This window comes from Homo sapiens, chromosome 1 (assembly GCF_000001405.40).
Source record: "Homo sapiens chromosome 1, GRCh38.p14 Primary Assembly".
Lineage (NCBI taxonomy): Eukaryota > Metazoa > Chordata > Mammalia > Primates > Hominidae > Homo > Homo sapiens.
In genome coordinates, this window is record NC_000001.11 from 27,853,501 (window position 1) to 27,871,772 (window position 18,272).

The following is an 18,272-nucleotide window of genomic DNA, read 5'->3' on the forward strand; positions in this document are numbered from 1 at the left end:
CCCCGTCTGGGAGTTGAGGGGCGCCTCTGCCCGGCCGCCCCTACTGGGAAGTGAGGAGCCCCTCTGCCCGGCCAGCCGCCCCGTCCGGGAGGGAGGTGGGGGGGTCGGCCCCCCGCCCGGCCAGCCGCCCCATCCGGGAGGGAGGTGGGGGGGTCAGCCCCCCGCCCGGCCAGCTGCCCTGTCCAGGAGGGAGGTGGGGGTGTCAGCCCCACGCCCGGCCAGCCGCCTCGTCCGGGAGGGAGGTGGGGGGGTCAGCCCCACGCCCGGCCAGCCGCCTCGTCCGGGAGGGAGGTGGGGGGGTCAGCCCCCCCGCCCGGCCAGCCGCCCTGTCCGGGAGGGAGGTGGGGGGGTCAGCCCCACGCCCGGCCAGCCGCCTCGTCCGGGAGGGAGGTGGGGGGGTCAGCCCCCCCGCCCGGCCAGCCGCCTCGTCCGGGAGGGAGGTGGGGGGGTCAGCCCCACGCCCGGCCAGCCGCCTCGTCCGGGAGGGAGGTGGGGGGGTCAGCCCCCCCGCCCGGCCAGCCGCCCTGTCCGGGAGGGAGGTGGGGGGGTCAGCCCTCCGCCCGGCCAGCCGCCCCGTCTGGGAGTTGAGGGGCGCCTCTGCCCGGCCGCCCCTACTGGGAAGTGAGGAGCCCCTCTGCCCGGCCAGCCGCCCCGTCCGGGAGGGAGGTGGGGGGGTCGGCCCCCCGCCCGGCCAGCCGCCCCATCCGGGAGGGAGGTGGGGGGGTCAGCCCCCCGCCCGGCCAGCTGCCCTGTCCAGGAGGGAGGTGGGGGTGTCAGCCCCACGCCCGGCCAGCCGCCTCGTCCGGGAGGGAGGTGGGGGGGTCAGCCCCCCACCCAGCCAGCCGCCCCGTCCGGGAGGGAGGTGGGGGGGGTCAGCCCCCCTGCCCGGCCAGTGGCCCCGTCCGGGAGGTGAGGGGCGCCTCTGCCCGGCCGCCCCTACTGGGAAGTGAGGAGCCCCTCTGCCCGGCCAGCCGCCCCGTCCGGGAGGGAGGTGGGGGTGGTCAGCCCCCCCCGCCCGGCCAGCCGCCCCGTCCGGGAGGTGAGGGGCGCCTCTGCCCAGCCACCACCCCGTCTGGGAGGTGTGCCCAACAGCTCATTGAGAACGGGCCAGGATGACAATGGCGGCTTTGTGGAATAGAAAGGCGGGAAAGGCGGGGAAAAGATTGAGAAATCGGATGGTTGCCGTGTCTGTGTAGAAAGAAGTAGACATGGGAGACTTTTCATTTTGTTCTGCACTAAGAAAAATTCCTCTGTCTTGGGATCCTGTTGATCTGTGACCTTACCCCCAACCCTGTGCTCTCTGAAACATGTGCTGTGTCCACTCAGGGTTAAATGGATTAAGGGCGGTGCAAGATGTGCTTTGTTAAACAGATGCTTGAAGGCAGCATGCTCGTTAAGAGTCATCACCAATCCCTAATCTCAAGTAATCAGGGACACAAACACTGCGGAAGGCCGCAGGGTCCTCTGCCTAGGAAAACCAGAGACCTTTGTTCACTTGTTTATCTGCTGACCTTCCCTCCACTATTGTCCCATGACCCTGCCAAATCCCCCTCTGTGAGAAACACCCAAGAATTATCAATAAAAAAATAAATTAAAAAAAAAAAAAAAAAAATGAGTGTCCTCATCAGGACAATACCTTCCTCTCGTTTTAGTGAAGATGGTACTGTTGGTAGTGGTGAACAATCACTAAGCACCTGCCTACCTACCTACCATGTATCCATTTACAGCACGTCATCTAATTCTCATAGCCCCAAGAGGAATTCTGTTTTTATCCCCATTTTATAGATGAGAAAACTGAGACTGAGACTAAACAAACTTCCCTATGAGCCCCCTGTACTGAAGACAGGATTGAAACTCTAGTCTGAATCCAGAGTTTAAGGTGGGGATATGCTTGGTCCATAGGTGGCACACCCTTTAGTTTTTGTATTTTTAGTGGAGACGGGGTTTCACCATGTTGGCCGGGCTGGTCTCGAACTTCGGCCCTCAGGTGATCCAACTGCCTTGGCCTCCCAGAGTGCTGGGATTACAGGCGTGAGCCACCGAGTCTGGCCTGTTTTGTAGTTCTTTAAAAGATGTCCAAACTGAACAACTTACTGGAAGTGTGTTAAAGTATGTTAGATATAGCTGAGATGAAGTCCTTCCTGATGAGAAGGTTATGCCATGCATTTTTTTTCTTTTTCTTTTTTTTTTTTTTTGAGACAGAGTCTTGCTCTGTCACCCAGGCTGGAGCACAGTGGCACGGTCTCGACTCACTGCAACCTCCGCCTCCCAGGTTCAAGCAATTCTCCTGCCTCAGCCTCCTAAGTACCTGGGATTACAGGTACGCACCACCACGTCTGGCTAATTTTTGTATTTTTAGTAGAGATGGGGTTTCACTGTATTGGCCAGGCTGGTCTTAAACTCCTGACCTCGTGATCCGCCTGCGTCGGCCTCCCAAAGTGCTGGGATTACAGGCGTGAGCCACTGAGCCACCATGCATTCTTGCTTTCAGAATCTGAGTTGCAGAGTGAAACTTGGATTGGCATTTCAAAGAAGGCACAACAGAATATACATACCTGCAAGGATTTTTTTTTTTTTTTTTTTTTTTTTTTTGAGACAAAAGTCTCACTCTGTCCCCCAGGCTGAAGTGCAGTGGTGCGATCTCGGCTCACTGCAACCTCCGCTTCCTGGTTCAAGCGACTCTCCTGCCTCAACCTCCCGAGTAGCTGGGACTACAGGCACCAGCCACCATGCCCAGCTAATTTTTGTGTTTTTAGTAGAGGTGGGGTTTTGCCATGTTGGCCAGGCTGGTCTCAAACTCCTGACCTCAGGTGATCTGCCTGCCTCAGCCTCCCAAAGTGCTGGGATTACAGGCGTGAGCCATGGCCCCCGGCTGATATTTCATGTACTTTAAGGGCCCGGTTAAGCGGAAGCAGAACTGGGGAGGCATGTATGTGTGGAAACCTGGCTTAGCTGGCGCCATACTTCTGATTCCAATTATGTTTTAGGTGCCCTCAGAGATGAGCACTCCAAGATGGGGCTCAACTGCCTGTTACCCTAATTAGCTCTGGATGACAATACAGATGGATGAGCCCCTTCTGTTCACTCCCAGGATCAGCAGTGGCCTCATACTCATGTGAGCACAGTGCTGCTGAGGGACACAGCCTGTCCCTATCTTGGGACACAGGCCCACCCCGGATGAGAATTGACTGCTGGTTTCCCCGAAATCCTGTGCCTACTGGTGGGCCACCTGCTGAGAAGGGAAGGGAGACCCATGTTCCCCTCCCCGGGGGGGAGACGGTGGCAAATCCTGTGGAGAAAGACATCTACTGACTGAACGGCCCGTTCCCCAGGGGATCCTGGCCCAGGATCAGCTGTTTGATGACCGTTTGCCTAAAATATGCCCACTACTAAATATAGGTCAGAATTTCAGAGTCAAAAGAGACCTGGGAGGTTCTGTCTAGACCCTTCATTTTGCAAATGAGCAAACTATGGCAGTGAGGACTTGCTTCATTCAACTTGGATGGATCAGACGTCTATGACTTGGGCCTATGGAAGTGCACCACCCCTGCTACCCCAGCTACTACAAGAGGCTCACCTAGAGGGAGACAGCCAGGCACTCAGATGCTGTCTAGACCCTTGACAGCTCGAGTGGAAGGATGGAGCCGGCGAGAATAGCAATAGGAATTTATTACCTGAGGCATGTGGACCATGGTTTTCCCAGCAGAGGGGCCACCATGAGAGGGGTGTGGAAAGAGGACATGGGATGGGGGTGGCTGGTGAGTGGGAGCGGGGAGGAGAGCCTACCCTATAAGCTTTGCTAGGGAATTACCAGGAAGGCACTGAAGGATATTTTTCTTAAAAAAAAAAAAAAAAAAAAAAAAAGACATGCTCAGGTAGATGTTTTGGAAAATGCAGAGAAACTGACATCACACACACCCTCACCTAGAGCAGGGGAGGCTTCCTTGGGAAGGTCTCAGCACGGGCAGTGAATGGTCAGGTTCAGATGATAGAAAATCCATGGGGTAGCAGGTGAATAAGGGGTCCCTGGCCTCTCATGAATCTCTCCACGCAGGGAGACAAGCAGGTGTTCTAGTGCTCTCTTTCTCACAGCTTAGCAGATCTAGAGAAAAGTCCAGGTGTTTCAAGAAGACTGAAGACGGCTGGGCTCAGTGGCTCACACCTGTAATGCCAGCACTTTGGGAGGCCAAGGCGGGCGGATCACCTGAGGTTAGGAGTTCGAGACTAGCCTGGCCAACATGGCGAAACCCCCATCTCTACTAAAAATACAAAAATTACCCGGGCATGGTGGCGCACACCTGTAATGCCAGCTACTCGGGAGGCAGAGGTTGCAGTGAGCAAGATCGTGCCACTGCACTCCAGCCTGGGTGACACTGCGAGACTCTATCACACACACACACAAAAAAGACTGAAGAGAGAGTTCTCCGTTAGTTCTGCCTGTGGGAGGGGAGGGGGGGCTTCAAAGAGCATGACATTGGATGTCTCCACGTGGTGGAGGGGAGGGTGCTCCACGCAGGGGCTACTGTGGGAGCACAGATGGGGCAGAGTGGACTAAAGTCTGGCATATGCCGGGGTGGAGGGAAGGTCCTTGAATGCCTGTGGAGTTTGGATGTTCTCTGTGGAGAGGGAATAAAACCATTGCCTGTTCCCTGGAGGGAATTGGATGCTGAAGCTTCTACCTTTAACAGGGGCATGGGTGCAGTTCCAGCCTCTGCCAGCAGGCTGGGCCCTGTGCCCACTTTTGAAAGACCTTCAGGGCTGTGGGGCATGAGATGAGAGAGGGAGGGAAGATAATCTGGCTCACTGCCGGGCACTTTATGTGACTTACCTCCTTAATTCCCCCGGGCACAGCCCTGAGAGGAGGTTGGCAGTGTCTGCATTTTACAGATGGGGAACTTGAGGCTCAGGGTACACAGACCCAGGTCACAGCCCTGGCAAGCCATGCAGTGGGGATTCTAGCCCGGCCCTGAGGTTTTGGAGCAGGGACGGTGCAGGGGAGTCTCCAGCCCAGGCTCCTCCCCTGCTCTTTCCACATCTGTGACAGGCTCTGGATTTTGTTCCCTGAGTTTTTTTCCTTCTCGAGTTCCTGTCCCCTCTGTCTCTATCTCTGTCCCCTTTGTGGTATGTGGGGCTTCAAGTACTACTGAGTCTCCACAGCTGTGCCAGGTTGGGCCTGGGCAGCTCCCCATAGAGGCTGGCGCCCATAGCCAGGGGCAGGGTTACCAGCAGGAAGTGCACCCCTGAGCCCCTCACCGCGGCTCCCAGCCTGCCTGCCTCGGTGGCCCCCACATCCCCGCCTCCCCAATCAAGGCATCTGCTCCCACTGTGCCCCATCCTGTTGGCAGCAGTCCTCCCTCTCCTTTGGGTCACTGGCAGCAGCATCCAGACTCACCATTACTGTCCTCTCCTTCATGGAAAATTAAGCAAACCCTCTTGATTCCACTCCCCGCCAGCTGCCCCAGCCGCCCTCCCATTTCTCTGCTCCACTTTCTGTCCCTAGTTCCTCTCCTCCATTTGCTGTTGAACCTACTCCAGGCAGGCTCTTCCCCCAACACTCGCTCCCTCCACAGTTGGTCATGTTTGCTTCTCTGCGGCCCCTCATTTCCCTCTGAGTGAGAGCCAGCCTCACCCTGCCCTGCACGCCGTCACCCTCCCGTCACCTCTCTGCTTCCCCTTGCTCGCTCCCCTATAGCCCATGGGCTTCTGGCTGCTCCTTCCACCCTCAGGGCACATGCCTGCCCTGCCCCTGTGGCTGGGCCTCTCTCCCAGGCATCAGCAGGGCTCCCTCGCTCCCTGTCCCTACGTTGAGAAAGAGAAAAGCAGGCCCTGACCTCCTGGAGCCCGCCTGGAGCCCAGCGGGGCTTCGGTATTCTCCAGCTGAACCTAAATGACTTCACAGGACATCAGCAACAGACAAACCACCTGGGACCACGATGGATCACGACACAAACAGGGCCACTCCACAGTCATGTCTGAGCACAAATAAAACATGAACAATGTCCAAGCCACAAAAAGGACCAATCATCCCTGCAGTGGGTGTTGACCTGTAGGCCCTAAAACATTCATCCAGGACCTCAGAATGTCACAGTTGAAGTAGGATCTTTGCAAGTGTAATTAAGGTAAGGATCTTCAGATGAGATCGTCCTGCATTAGGATGGGCCCTAATCCAGGAATGACCTAATAGGAGACAGAAAAGGAGGCCGGGAGTGGTGGCTCACGCCTGTAATCCCAGCACTTTGGGAGGCCTAGGCGGGTGGATCACGAGGTCAGGAGTTTGAGACCAGCCTGGCCAACATGGTGAAACCCTGTCTCTACTAAAGATACAAAACAATTAGCCGGGCATGGTGGTGTGCGCCTGTAATCCCAACTACTTGGGACGCTGACGCAAGAGAATTGCTTGAACCCAGGAGGCAGAGGTTGTAGTGAGCCAAGATCACACCACTGCATTCCAGCCTGGGCGACAGGGAAGACTCCATCTCAAAAAAAAAACAAAAAAAACAAACAAACAAAAAAAAAAACTGGAAAAGGAGAAGACGGGGACACAGAAGGAAAGGCCATGGGAAGATGTGGAGGTTAGAATGATCTGTCTACAAGCCAAGGAGCACGAGGATTGCCTCAGAGCTTTCAGAAGGAACCAACCCTACAACACTTTGATTTCTGGCCTCCAGAACTGTGAGAGGATACATTTATGTTGCTTTAACCTGCCAAGTTTGTAGTCATTTGTTACAGCGGACCCAGAAACGAATACAATCCCCCTGTCCTGGCTCATAGGAGACGCTGTTGCTTCTTACTGATCACAGCTCTAGCTTTGGTCTAGTCTTGCCTCCCTCTAGATAAAATGTATTAATGTCCTCAGCCATAGAAATACCCTTGCTTCTGCACAGCATCCAATCCAGAGTGAAGCCCTGCTTTCTTTTTTCTTTCTTTGAGATGGAGTCTCACTGTCACCCAGGCTGAAGTACAGTGGCATGATCTCAGCCCACTGCAACCTCCACCTCTCAGGTTCTAGTAGTTCTCTTGCCTCAGCCTCTAGAGTAGCTGGGATTACAGGCACGCACCCCCATGCCTAGCTACTTTTTGTATTTTTATTAGAGACGGTGTTTTACCATGTTGGCCAGGCTGGTCTTGAACTTCTGACCTCAAGTGATCCACCCTCCTCAACGTCCCAAAGTGCTGGGATTACAGGCGTGAGCCACCATGCCCAGCCCGAAGCCCTGCTTTCTTAAGCACTCAAAAGTCATCTAACCCAAATCCTGTAAGTCCTTTCTAACACAGCTTACTGAGTTGCCCCACAGTTTCCCATGGCATGTGCTATCCCTATGATAGCACATAGTCACGAACCCAACTTACTCAGATGCCCCTCTGTTCCTGGGAGTCTGTGGCTGGAGGGCATTGACAACGTCTTGGCCCCAAGGCTAACATCTCAATGAGGCCAACCCTCCTCACTCCCAACCCCTTATCCCCGACCTCCCACTTGCTCCACTGTTCCCACAGCACCATCCCCTCTACCACACACCACCCTACGGTGGTATCGTTTACTTATTGACTGCATATTGTTTATGGTCTGCCTTTCCCCTCCCCTCACTTGAGTGTAAGCTCCACTAGGGGCAGGGGCTGTTGTCTGTTTTGATTCCCAGTGTATTCAAAATGGCTGGAACAGCCTAGCACATCGCTGGCACGCCATAAAAATTTGTTGAATGAATGAATCGATGTTGGGACAGGAGCAAACCAAGGAAGCGCCTAACCAGCCTGGCCACCAGAAGGCTTCGCTGGAAAAGGGCTGTCAGGGCTGGGATCTGAGGGATAAATAAAGGTTATCCAAGCACAAGAGTTGGGAGGAGAGGCCGGGCGCAGTGGCTCACACCTGTATCCCAGCACTTTGGGAGGCCGAGGTGGGTGGATCACTTGAGGTCAGAAATTCAAGACCAGCCTGGCCAACATGGTGAAACCCCGCCTCTACTAAAAATACAAAAAATAAATAAGAAAGAGTGGGAGGAGTATTCCAGCCATGTGCAAAAGGCTGGGGAAGCGAGGAGGTGTTTCAGGATTGAGGAAATGCAAGTGCTTTGATGTGGCCGGAGAGAATGTTCTGGAAAAGGAAGGCAAGCGATGAGGCTGGAATGTTGTCAGAGGCCAGGACACGAAAGACCACGTCATCAGGAGCTCAGACTTCACCTGAGGGCCATGGGGAGTCCTGGAAGTGTTGAAGCAGGAGGTGATATGTCAGAGCTGCATTTAGGAAGAGCAGAGGGGCCGGACATTGTGGCTCACACCTGTATCCCAGCACTTTGGGAGGTCGAGGCAGGAGGATCGCTTGAATCCAGGAGTTCGAGACCAGCCTGGGCAACCTGGCAAAACCCATCTCTACCAAAAATACAAAAATTAACCAGTCTAATAACCCAGTCTCTAAATAAATAAATATACAAATAAATAAATATATAGGTATTTTTTGTTTTAATAATAATTGTAATTTCCAATATGTTGTGCAAGGAGATCAGAGAGGAAAATCATATTAATTTGATATTTGTGGAAGAATTTGTGCAAATTGTATTTAGTGCCACCACAATGTGAGGATGAAATTTTTTTTTTAAGGAAGAGCAGATGGGAGGGAGGGGACAGTCCCGGGGAGGTGAGGCTGGAGGTGGGAAGACTAGCAGTGAGATGGTCTCAGGGCAAGACAATGTGGCCTGGACCACGCTGGAGAGTCTAGGGAGAAGGAAGAAGACCCAAGGTGCCTCTGGGGACTCTGGCTGGGCATCCAGGGTTTAGAGGTGTCATTCACTGTGGAGGGGAACACAGGAGAGGGGCAGGTTATGGGGAAGGTGCTGAGATTGAGGCCCTTTATGCCGTAGAAATCAGGGCAGATGTGTGCACACCTGGAGCTCAAGACTGGCCTGGACACAGGCTTGGAAGCGGGACAGGGTGAGGCCACATCCCCCACATCGGGGAGGATGATTCTGAGGACTTCTACTTACAAAACTGTAAGAAGAGGGGGCTCAGGTGGCAGGGTTTCAGGGAAGGGCAGAGGGTGGCCCACTCCCCACCTCTCCTCCTCTCTCTGTCCTCTGGGCGGTCTCTAGGTCTCCACTGGCCCCTGCAGCCCCCAGTGGCTGGAATCACTCCCTTGGAGAGAGACCTCTAAACTGACTGCTCCAGGCTTCCTTAGAAAGCAGGGAGGAGGCCCCCCGCACAGATGGCTGCAGCAGTAGCCCCTCTGGAACCCAGCACCCACCTGGAGGGGATGACAGCATGGACCTGGGACTCAGGCCCTAGTTATTCTGGTAAGGCTCAGGACTGGGCCTGAGGCATGTCGCAGTTCACATGGTCCCAGCAGGGCTGCAAGCAAGTCCAGCATAGCCTGCTGGGCTCCTTTCCCCGCACATGGCCCCTCAACAACCCCCACCTTGGACCCTGAGCAGAGCGAGAAGCACCTTGCCCAGACAGGAGAGATGAGCCCCTTCACCTAGACCCCACGGGCTTCGCCCCTCACTCCATTCTGCCTCCTACCTGCCTCTCTTCTCAGCCTTCCAGGCTGGGTTTCCATCCTCTCCTCTGAGCAACCTCACCAGCCTCCTAACTGCCCCTCCCTGCCCTGCCAAGCCATCTTCACACCTAATGCAGTTCACACCACATCACTCATTTGAATCAATCAAGAACTCTTCCCCAAAGAGCAAACTCCTTACTGAGGCCTCTGGGGTCCCGCATGCCTGGCTGCTCTCTGCCTCCTACTCGAAATCTCTTTCAGTTCCCCAGTATGCTCTCCTCTGTTCTTCCCTCTCGCTCTGTGTCCCACTCACCCTTGACTCACCCATGACTTCCTCTGGGCATGCTTCCCTAGTCCTCAAGCTGTGGAAAGAAGATCTGCTTGAGCAATCCTCACACCCTATGTCCTGCCTGTGTGAGTGCTGGGAGGACACTCACCACTGTTTCCTGGCAACCCCACAATGTGCCCTAAACAGCAGGCCAGCAGCATGGACAGAGTTGAATTGAAATGCATTAAGAAGCTCCTTCTTCCTTTCCTCTCCAGGTCCTTGGATCCTGCCCCATTAGGTGGGCAGGTATTATTACCCTCTGCTGTGGTTTGAATGTGTCCTCCAAATTTCAGGTGTTGGAAACTTAATCCCCAAATTCTTATGTTGATGGCATTTGGAAGTGGAGCCTTTGGGAGGTATTTAGGATTAGATCAGGTCATCAGGGTGGGGCCCCCATGGTCACCCTGGTGGCTTTACAAGAAGAGGAAGAGACGCCTGAGTTGACAGGCTCTTCCCTCTCACCATGTGATGCCCTCTGCCATGTTATGATGCAGTGAGAAGGTCCTCACAAGCTGCAGCCCCTCAGCCTTGGACTTCCCAGCCTCCAAAACTGTAAGAAATAATTTTTTTTTTTTTTTTTGGAGACAGAGTTTCACTCTTGTTGCCCAGGCTGGAGTGCAATGGCACAATCTCAGCTCACTACAACCTCTGCCTCCTGGGTTCAAGCGATTCTCCTGCCTCAGCCTTCCGAGTAGCTGGGATTACAGGCATAAGCCATCACACCCAGCTAATTTGTGTATTTTTGGTAGCGACGGGGTTTCACCATGTTGGCCAGGCTGGTCTCGAACTCCTGACCTCAGGTGATCCACCCGCCTTGGCCTCTTAAAGTGCTGGGATTACAGGCATGAGCCACCGTGCCTGGCCAGAAATAAATTTATTTTCTTTGTAAATTATCCAGTCAGCAGCATTCTATTACAGTAACAGGAAACAGACTAAGACACCCTCCTCTTCCTCCCAGCTAGAAGGAGCAACCAAAATCCAGAGGCTGTCCCTTCATCTGTGCTACCCACATGGCCTCAACCTTGAACCCAGTGACACAGTGGGGCCACCAAACTGAAGTCATGTTTCAACAAAATTCTCAAACCCTTAGGGCAAGTAAGAGCAGCAAGGAGATACAAGCAGGGAGTTCGTATGGGGAGGGCTCCAGAGGCCCCATGAGAAAGGGAACTTCCCCAGGCCTTCCTCTTCTGAGGAGCACTGTGGGTGTGGGGTTCCACCCTGACTAAACCCTGGTTCAGTCTTTTCCTGGCTGGGGGACTTCGGGCACACAGTTTAACCTCTCTAGGTGCAGTTTTTTCCTATATATAAAATGGAAAGAACCAGATAAACCCGCATTTCAGGGTTGCTGTGAACTTAATGAGCCAGCCAGTTACAGCTCCCCTTCCCAGAGTCCCAGGCCTTCCCATTGCCTCTGCATGTGTGAAGATTCAACTCTGGGCCGGGCGTGGTGGCTCATACCTGTAATCTCAGCATTTTCGGAGACTGAGGCAAGCGGATCACCTGAGGTCAGGAGTTCAAGACCAGCCTGACCAACATGGAGAAACCCCGTCTCTACTAGAAATACAAAATTAGCCAGGTGTGGTGGTGCATGCCTGTAATCCCAGCTACTCGGGAGGCTGAGGCAGTAGAATTGCTTGAATCCGGGAGGCGGAGGTGGTGGTGAGCGGAGATAGTACCACTGCACTCCAGCCTGGGCAACAACAGTAAAACTCCGTCTCCAAAAAAAAAAAAAAGGACTGCAAAACCATGGAACCAATGCTTCCAAATTTGCGGGGAACATTGTTTCAACCGGGAACTCAATACCAGCCAGACCACTGCTGAAGAATAAACAATGCTACACTTTGGGTTTAGGGTTAGAAGCAGTCTTTAAAAAAAAATGTGGTAAAATACACGTAACATAAAATTAACCATCTTGGCCGGGTGTGGTGGTTCACCCCTGTAATCCCAGCACTTTGGGAGGCCGAGGCAGGCAGATCACCTGAGGTTAGGAATTCAAGACCAGCCTGGCCAACATGGCAAGACCCCGTCTCTACTAGAAATACACAAAGTAGCTGGGCATAGTGGCGGGTACCTGTAATCCCAGCTACTCAGGTGGCTGAGGCAGGAGGATTGCTTGAACACGGGAGGCAGAGGTAGCAGTGAGCCGAGATCGCATCACTGCACTCCAGCCTGGGTGACAGAGCAAGACTGTCTCAAAAAAAAAAAAATTGCCATCTTAACAGTTAAAAAAAAATTCATGACACAGTCCTCAGGAGACCTTGAGAAATGTGCCCTTAATCTTTTTTTTTTTTTTTTTTTTTTGAGACGGAGTCTCGCTCTGTTGCCCAGACTGGAGTGCAGTGGCTTGATCTTGGCTCACTGCAAGCTCCGCCCCCCGGGCTCATGCCGTTCTCCTGCCTCAGCCTCCCGAGTAGCTGGGACTACAGGCGCCCGCCACCATGCCCAGCTAATTTTTTTGTATTTTTAGTAGAGATGGGGTTTCATGTGTTAGCCAGGATGGTCTCGATCTCCTGACCTCGTGATCCCCCTGCCTCGGCCTCCCAAAGTGCTGGGATTACAGGTTTGAGCCACCGCGCCTGGCCCTTAATCATTTTTAAGTGTATAATTCAGTCGTGTTAAGTATGTTCACATTGTGCAAACAACCAATCTCTAGGACATTTGCATCTTGCAAAACTGAAACTCTTCACCCATTAAACAACAACTCCCAAATTCCCCGTTCCCCCAGTGGCTGGGGAAAAGCCACCCTTTGACTTTCTTCTTTTTTTGTTTTGCTGAGACGGAGTTTTGCTCTGTCGCCTGGGCTGGAGTGAAGTGGCTTGATCTCAGCCCACTGCGACCTCTGCCTCCCAGGTTCAAGAGATTCTCCTGCCTCAGCCTCCCAAGTAGCTGAGATTACAGGCACCCGCTACCATGCCCAGCTAATTTTTGTATTTTTAGTAGAGACCGGGTTTCACCATGTTGACCAGGCTGGTCTTGAACCCCTGACCTCAGGTGATCCACCCGCCTCAGCCTCCCAAAGTGTTGAGATTACAGGCGTGAGCCACTGCACCAGGCCTCCCTTTGACTTTCTATGAATTTCACGACTCTAGGTTCCTCATCTGAGTGGAATCATACAGTGTTTGTCGTTTCGTGATGGGCCTATTTCACTGAGCGTAATGTCCAGAAGTTTCCTCCATATTGTGGCGTGTGTCATAGTTTTATACCTTTTTAAGGCTGAATAATATTCATTGTATGGGCCGGGCATGGTGGTTCATGCCTGTAATCCCAGCACTTTGGGAGGTTGAGGCTGGAGGATTGTTGGAGCCCAGGAGTTCAAGACCAGCCTGGGCAACATAGCAAAATTCCTTCTCTATAAAAAAAGGTTTAAAAATTAGCTGGGCATGGGCCGGGCATGGTGGCTCATGCCTGTAATCCCAGCACTTTGGGAGGCCGCAGTGGGTGGATCACGAGGTCAGGAGATCGAGACCATCCTGGCTAACACGGTGAAACCCCATCTCTACTAAAAAACACAAAAAATTAGCCGGGCGTGGTGACAGGCGCCTGTAGTCCCAGCTACTCAGGAGGCTGAGGCAGGAGAATGGCGTGAACCCAGGAGGCAGAGCTTGCAGTGAGCCGAGATCGCGCCACTGCACTCCAGCCTGGGCGACAGAGTGAGACTCTGTCTCAAATTAAAAAAAAAAAAAAAAAAAATTAGCTGGGCATGGTGGCATGCACCAGGCTTAGGTGGGAGGATTGCTTAAGCCTGGGAGGTTGAGGCTGCAGTGAGCCGTGATTGCACTACTGCACTCCAGCCTGGGTGACAGTGTTGCTGGATTTATAAGGAATCAGAGAGATCTATGGGGTTCAGGAGGATATTTGTTAATTATTTAGGTGCACCGGCCCAGTCAGATTAACATGCAAAGGACTGAGCCTTGAACAAAGAGTTAAGTTACCTTTTAAGCATTTCGTGGGGCGGGGGGAGAACTGTGCAGGCGGAAGCATACTACAGAAGCGAGAAACAAAGGCAGTTATTTAATCAATTGAGACACGTATTACATCATTTCTTATTTTTCAAGGAAAAACACGTTTTGTGACTTGAGTTTATCTGCCTAGTGACCTTGCAGCTGCACATCTAGAGAAACAGGGTTGTCACAATGTCTGGGAAAGGGACAGATAAGACTCACTAGCCACAGAAACACAGGCAGTTAATTTTTAAAGGACTCCAGCTCTTTCTCTTCCTCGGGGGAACTGGGTTTTCTTACATACAACTGAGTTTCTGCTTACACACTCCTTAATTTCTTTTAATTAAGGGTTTTGCGCTGGTGTGGTGGCTCATGCCTGTAATCCAAGCACTTTGGGAGGCCGAGGCGGGTGGATCACCTGAGGTTGGAAGTTCAAGACCAGCCTGACCAACACAGAGAAACCCCATCTCTACTAAAAATACAGAATTAGCCAGGCATGGTGGCTCATGCCTGTAATCCCAGCTACTCGGGAGGCTGAGGCAGGAAAATTGCTTGAACCTGGGAGGCGGAGGTTGCAGTGAGCCAAGATCGCACCATTGCACTCCAGCCTGGGCAACAAGAGTGAAACTCCATCTCGAAAAAAAAGAAAACAAAAGAAAAAAGCCAAGAGGGGAGTCGAACTAATTTTCCACCACACAGGAGCATGAGCCAGCCCTCTGAGGCTTTACAAGCAGACACGCCTGCCTCCTTAAAGATATGCTGAGCATTGGCCGGGTGCAGTGGCTTACGCCTGTAATCCCAGCATTTTGGGAGGCCGAGGCAGGTGGATCACCTGAGGTCAGGAGTTCGAGACCAGCCTTCCCAACATGGCGAAACCCTGTCTCTAGTAAAAATACAAAAAAATTAGCTGGGCGTGGTGGGCACGTCTGTAATCCCAGCTACTCGAGAGGCTGAGGCAGAAGAATCACTTGAACCCAGGAGGCGGAGGTTGCAGTGAGCCAAGATCACACCAGTGCACTCCAGCCTGGGTGACAAGAGCGAGACTCCATCTCAAAAAAAAAAAAAAAAAGATATGCTGAGCATCTTTTCCCGAAAGTGACCTATTTTACTCCTGTGAAAACCTGCACTGGGGGGAGAACCCCTCCCCCATGATCTCCACAGTTGTCTCAGAGGGGCCATGCAGGGTCTGTTCATGTTGTTTTTGTTAATATGAAAGTAATTCAAGGGCAGAGGGGGCAAAATAGCCAGACCCTGTCTCTAAAAAACATTTAAAAATTAAAAATAAGACAAGGCTCCAGACTGGAAGAAAAAAATTTCTTTTAAGTACTCAAACTGTGTTCTGGAAAATCCAGAAAACAGTTACAAGACAAGACATGCCCTTTTGCCACCGTCGCGCCTGGGAACTGTGAGCATTTCTGCAGGAGACCTGTGGGCTGCTGTGGTGCCGTCTTTGTATTGTGGTCATTGCGGAAGGGCGCCATGAAGCCATTGGGCCAGCTGGTGGATCTTGCTCTCCCAGTGAGGGAGCAACTCGAGGACAACTTCGGGACCCACAGGCCAGGCGTGTATCTGCTCTGGTGGGCAGCCTGGGTGCCTGGAGTATCACTGAGTGGCAAACTGCTTGGCAGCATCACACGGTAGGGACACTGGTAACTTCCAGCCAGCATGCGGAGGGCTTCCAGCCCTTCTGCAGGCTCAGGGATGTGCTGGGCCTCCATCCCTCGCCCTCAGAGCACAGGCATTCTCCCTGTCCCTGCCACACTGCCCTTGACCCTGCTGGCTGCTGGGATGTTTCCCACCGCTTTGGGTGAGTGGGCCACGCCGGTGGGTGTTGAAGTGGATGGCAGGACACCTTAACAACCGCTGCCCAGTGCTGTGTCAGTGTTAGGCCCTTACCTTCCTCTACAGTGGGAGGAAACACGGGAGGAGAGGGAGGACCCCACATCCTGCCTGGCAAGTTGCTGAAAAACACCAAGTCACGTGACACATCATATACCGGAGTGTGTGGTGCCACACAGCAGGCACGGGTCTGACCCCATCCTGTCACCCTGCCGCTGTGGCCAGCTGCCTCCTGCACTGTCCAAAGGAGGTCCTGAGCCATCCACCTTCAGAGTCCAAAAGCTGACAGAGATGGGTTGATGAAATGAGGAACTTCTGTTCCCGGTGGCTGGAGGCATCCTCCTCACAGCTGGTGGGGGCGGGGGGACTTCCTTTCTGCCCCTGTCCTACTGTGGGAATCTGAGCTTCTTTCTCTGCCCCATTCAGCTCTTGAGGAGCCAAGGACAGATCCCCAGGCTGGTGCTCCCAACCTGGGGAAGTGAAAAGGGCTTGGGCCGTGACCACCTGCAGGTTCGGTTCAGATTTTAGTTCCTCCATTACACGGGCAACCGCAAGGAAGTCAGGTTCCCATTGAGTGTCTTATTTCCTCAAATAGAATGCAGAGTGTTGGGAGAAATAAAGAAGATGAGAACTCTTGTCAGAGGCACAGGAGGTCTTGGGAAAGAACAATATCATGTAATGATTGTAGATATGGGGTACTGGGCATGTCCCCATGTGCCTGGGTTACACTAACATTTTTACCAACACCTGTCTCCTGCCAGCCTTGGTTGTAAAGAGGGAGAGGAGACTGAGACTCAGAGAGGGTATGGGACTTGCCCAAGGTCACACAGCTAAGAAGTAGTGGAGCCAGGGTTTGAGCCCAGCTCTGTCTATCTCCAAAGCCCATCCTCTACTGAAATTCTAGACATAACTGGGCTGAGCAGAAATCCAGCAAACTTCCACAATCTGCTTAAGCACCTGGGAAAGAAGTGAAGAACGGTCATTTTCTCTGGCCTGCAGGAGGAGCCTAGCAGAGCCGGGTTAAAATCCCAGTGTCTCCACTTGGCATAACCTTAGGCAAGACCCTTCACTTTTGTGAAGCCTGACCCAGGAGGTTGGGGGCTACAGTGAGCTGTGTGTGCAGCACTGCACTCCAGCCTGGGTGACAGAATGAGACCGCCCACCCCTCTCAAAAAAAAAAAAAAAAAAAAAAAAACTAGAAAGAAACACAACAAAATATTAGTAGTTAGTGTAAGTATTTTGGGTGGTGGGTAAAGAATGCCTGCTTTTTATTAATCAAATGTTCTTTAGTTAGAATTTATTCATTGTATTTTAAACTTCTGTTATTATCTTTGATTAAAAGTCTTTTGTTACTTTTATAGTGACAAAAAAACTAAATATGGCATTTTGCACAATACCTATATCATCTTATTCAATCCTCACAATCTGCTGAGATATAATTCTTTCTCCTATTTTATTATTTTTTTATTTTTTTAGAGACAGGTTCTCACTCTGTTGCCTAGGCTGGGGCTGGAGTGCAGTGGCATGATCATAGCTCACTGCAGTCTCGACCTCCCAGGCTCAAGCCACCCTCCTGCCTCAGTCTCCTGAGTAGCTGAGAGTGCAGGTGCATGCCACCATGCCTGGATATTTTATTTATTTACTTATTTATTTATTTATTTTTGAGATGGAGTCTTGCTCTGTTACCCAGGCTGGAGTAAAGTGGCGTGATCTCGGCTCACTGCAACCTCTGCCCCCCCGGGTTCAAGCGATTCTCCTGCCTCAGCCTCCCGAGTAGCTGGGATTACAGGCACGCACCACCACACCCAGCTAATTTTTTTTTTTTTTTGAGACAGAGTTTTGCTCTTGTTACCCAAGCTGGAGTGTAATGATGCAATTTCGGCTCACTGCAAACTCCACATCCCGGGTTCAAGCGATTCTCCTGCCTCAGCCTCCTGAGTAGATAGGATTACAGGCACGTGCCACCACGCCCAGCTACTTTTGTATTTTTAGTAGAGCCGGGGTTTCTCCCTGTTGGTCAGGCTGGTCTCGAACTCCTGACCTCAGGTGATCTGTCCAACTTGGCCTCCCAAAGTACTGGGATTACAGGCGTGAGTCATTGTGCCCAGTAATTTTTTTGTATTTTTAGTAGAGACAGGGTTTTGCCATATTGGCCAGGCTGGTCTTGAACTCCTGACTTCAGGAGATCTGCCCGCCTCACCCTCCCAAAGTGCTAGGATTATAGGCGTGAGCCACCGCGCCTGGCCTTATTTTATTTTATTCTTTTTTTTAAGAGACAGGGTCTTGCTAGTTTGCCCAGGGTGGTCTAGGACTCCTGGTCTCAAGTGATCCTCCTGCCTCAGTCTCCCAAAGTGCTGGGATTACAGGCCACACCCAGCCTCTTCTCCCTGTTTTTTTGTTTTTGTTTTTGTTTTTTGAGACGGAGTTTTGCTCTTGTTGCCCAAGCTGGAGTGCAATGGTACAATCTCGGCTCACTGCAACCTCTGCCTCCCAGGTTCAAGCGATTCTCCTGCCTCAGCCTCCCGAGTAGCTGGGATTAGAGGTGTGTGCCACCACGTCTGGCTAGGTTTTTTTGTATTTTTAGTAGAAACGGGTTTTCACCATGTTAGTCTGGTCTCAAACTCCTGACCTCAGGTGATCCACCCGCCTCGGCCTCCCAAAGTGCTGGGATTATAGGCGT

General features: G+C 52.4%; 6 annotated features.

Moving 5' to 3' along the window:
- Window positions 3,038-3,332: an enhancer, noted in NCBI's record as "tiled region #12814; K562 Activating DNase matched - State 8:EnhW". NCBI's record gives its function as "activates a minimal TATA promoter and a strong SV40 promoter by Sharpr-MPRA in K562 cells {active_cell/tissue: K562}" and the evidence as "EXISTENCE:reporter gene assay evidence [ECO:0000049][PMID:27701403]".
- Window positions 9,648-9,707: an enhancer, noted in NCBI's record as "active region_572". NCBI's record gives its function as "activates an Ori minimal core promoter by ATAC-STARR-seq in GM12878 lymphoblastoid cells {active_cell/tissue: GM12878}" and the evidence as "EXISTENCE:reporter gene assay evidence [ECO:0000049][PMID:35858748]".
- Window positions 9,728-9,807: an enhancer, noted in NCBI's record as "active region_573". NCBI's record gives its function as "activates an Ori minimal core promoter by ATAC-STARR-seq in GM12878 lymphoblastoid cells {active_cell/tissue: GM12878}" and the evidence as "EXISTENCE:reporter gene assay evidence [ECO:0000049][PMID:35858748]".
- Window positions 10,148-10,257: an enhancer, noted in NCBI's record as "active region_574". NCBI's record gives its function as "activates an Ori minimal core promoter by ATAC-STARR-seq in GM12878 lymphoblastoid cells {active_cell/tissue: GM12878}" and the evidence as "EXISTENCE:reporter gene assay evidence [ECO:0000049][PMID:35858748]".
- Window positions 13,613-14,134: a transcriptional cis regulatory region, noted in NCBI's record as "candidate enhancer chr1.3986 targeted for multiplex CRISPR interference". NCBI's record gives its function as "positively regulates THEMIS2 gene expression with high confidence in K562 cells {active_cell/tissue: K562}" and the evidence as "EXISTENCE:mutant phenotype evidence [ECO:0000015][PMID:30612741]".
- Window positions 16,169-16,218: an enhancer, noted in NCBI's record as "active region_575". NCBI's record gives its function as "activates an Ori minimal core promoter by ATAC-STARR-seq in GM12878 lymphoblastoid cells {active_cell/tissue: GM12878}" and the evidence as "EXISTENCE:reporter gene assay evidence [ECO:0000049][PMID:35858748]".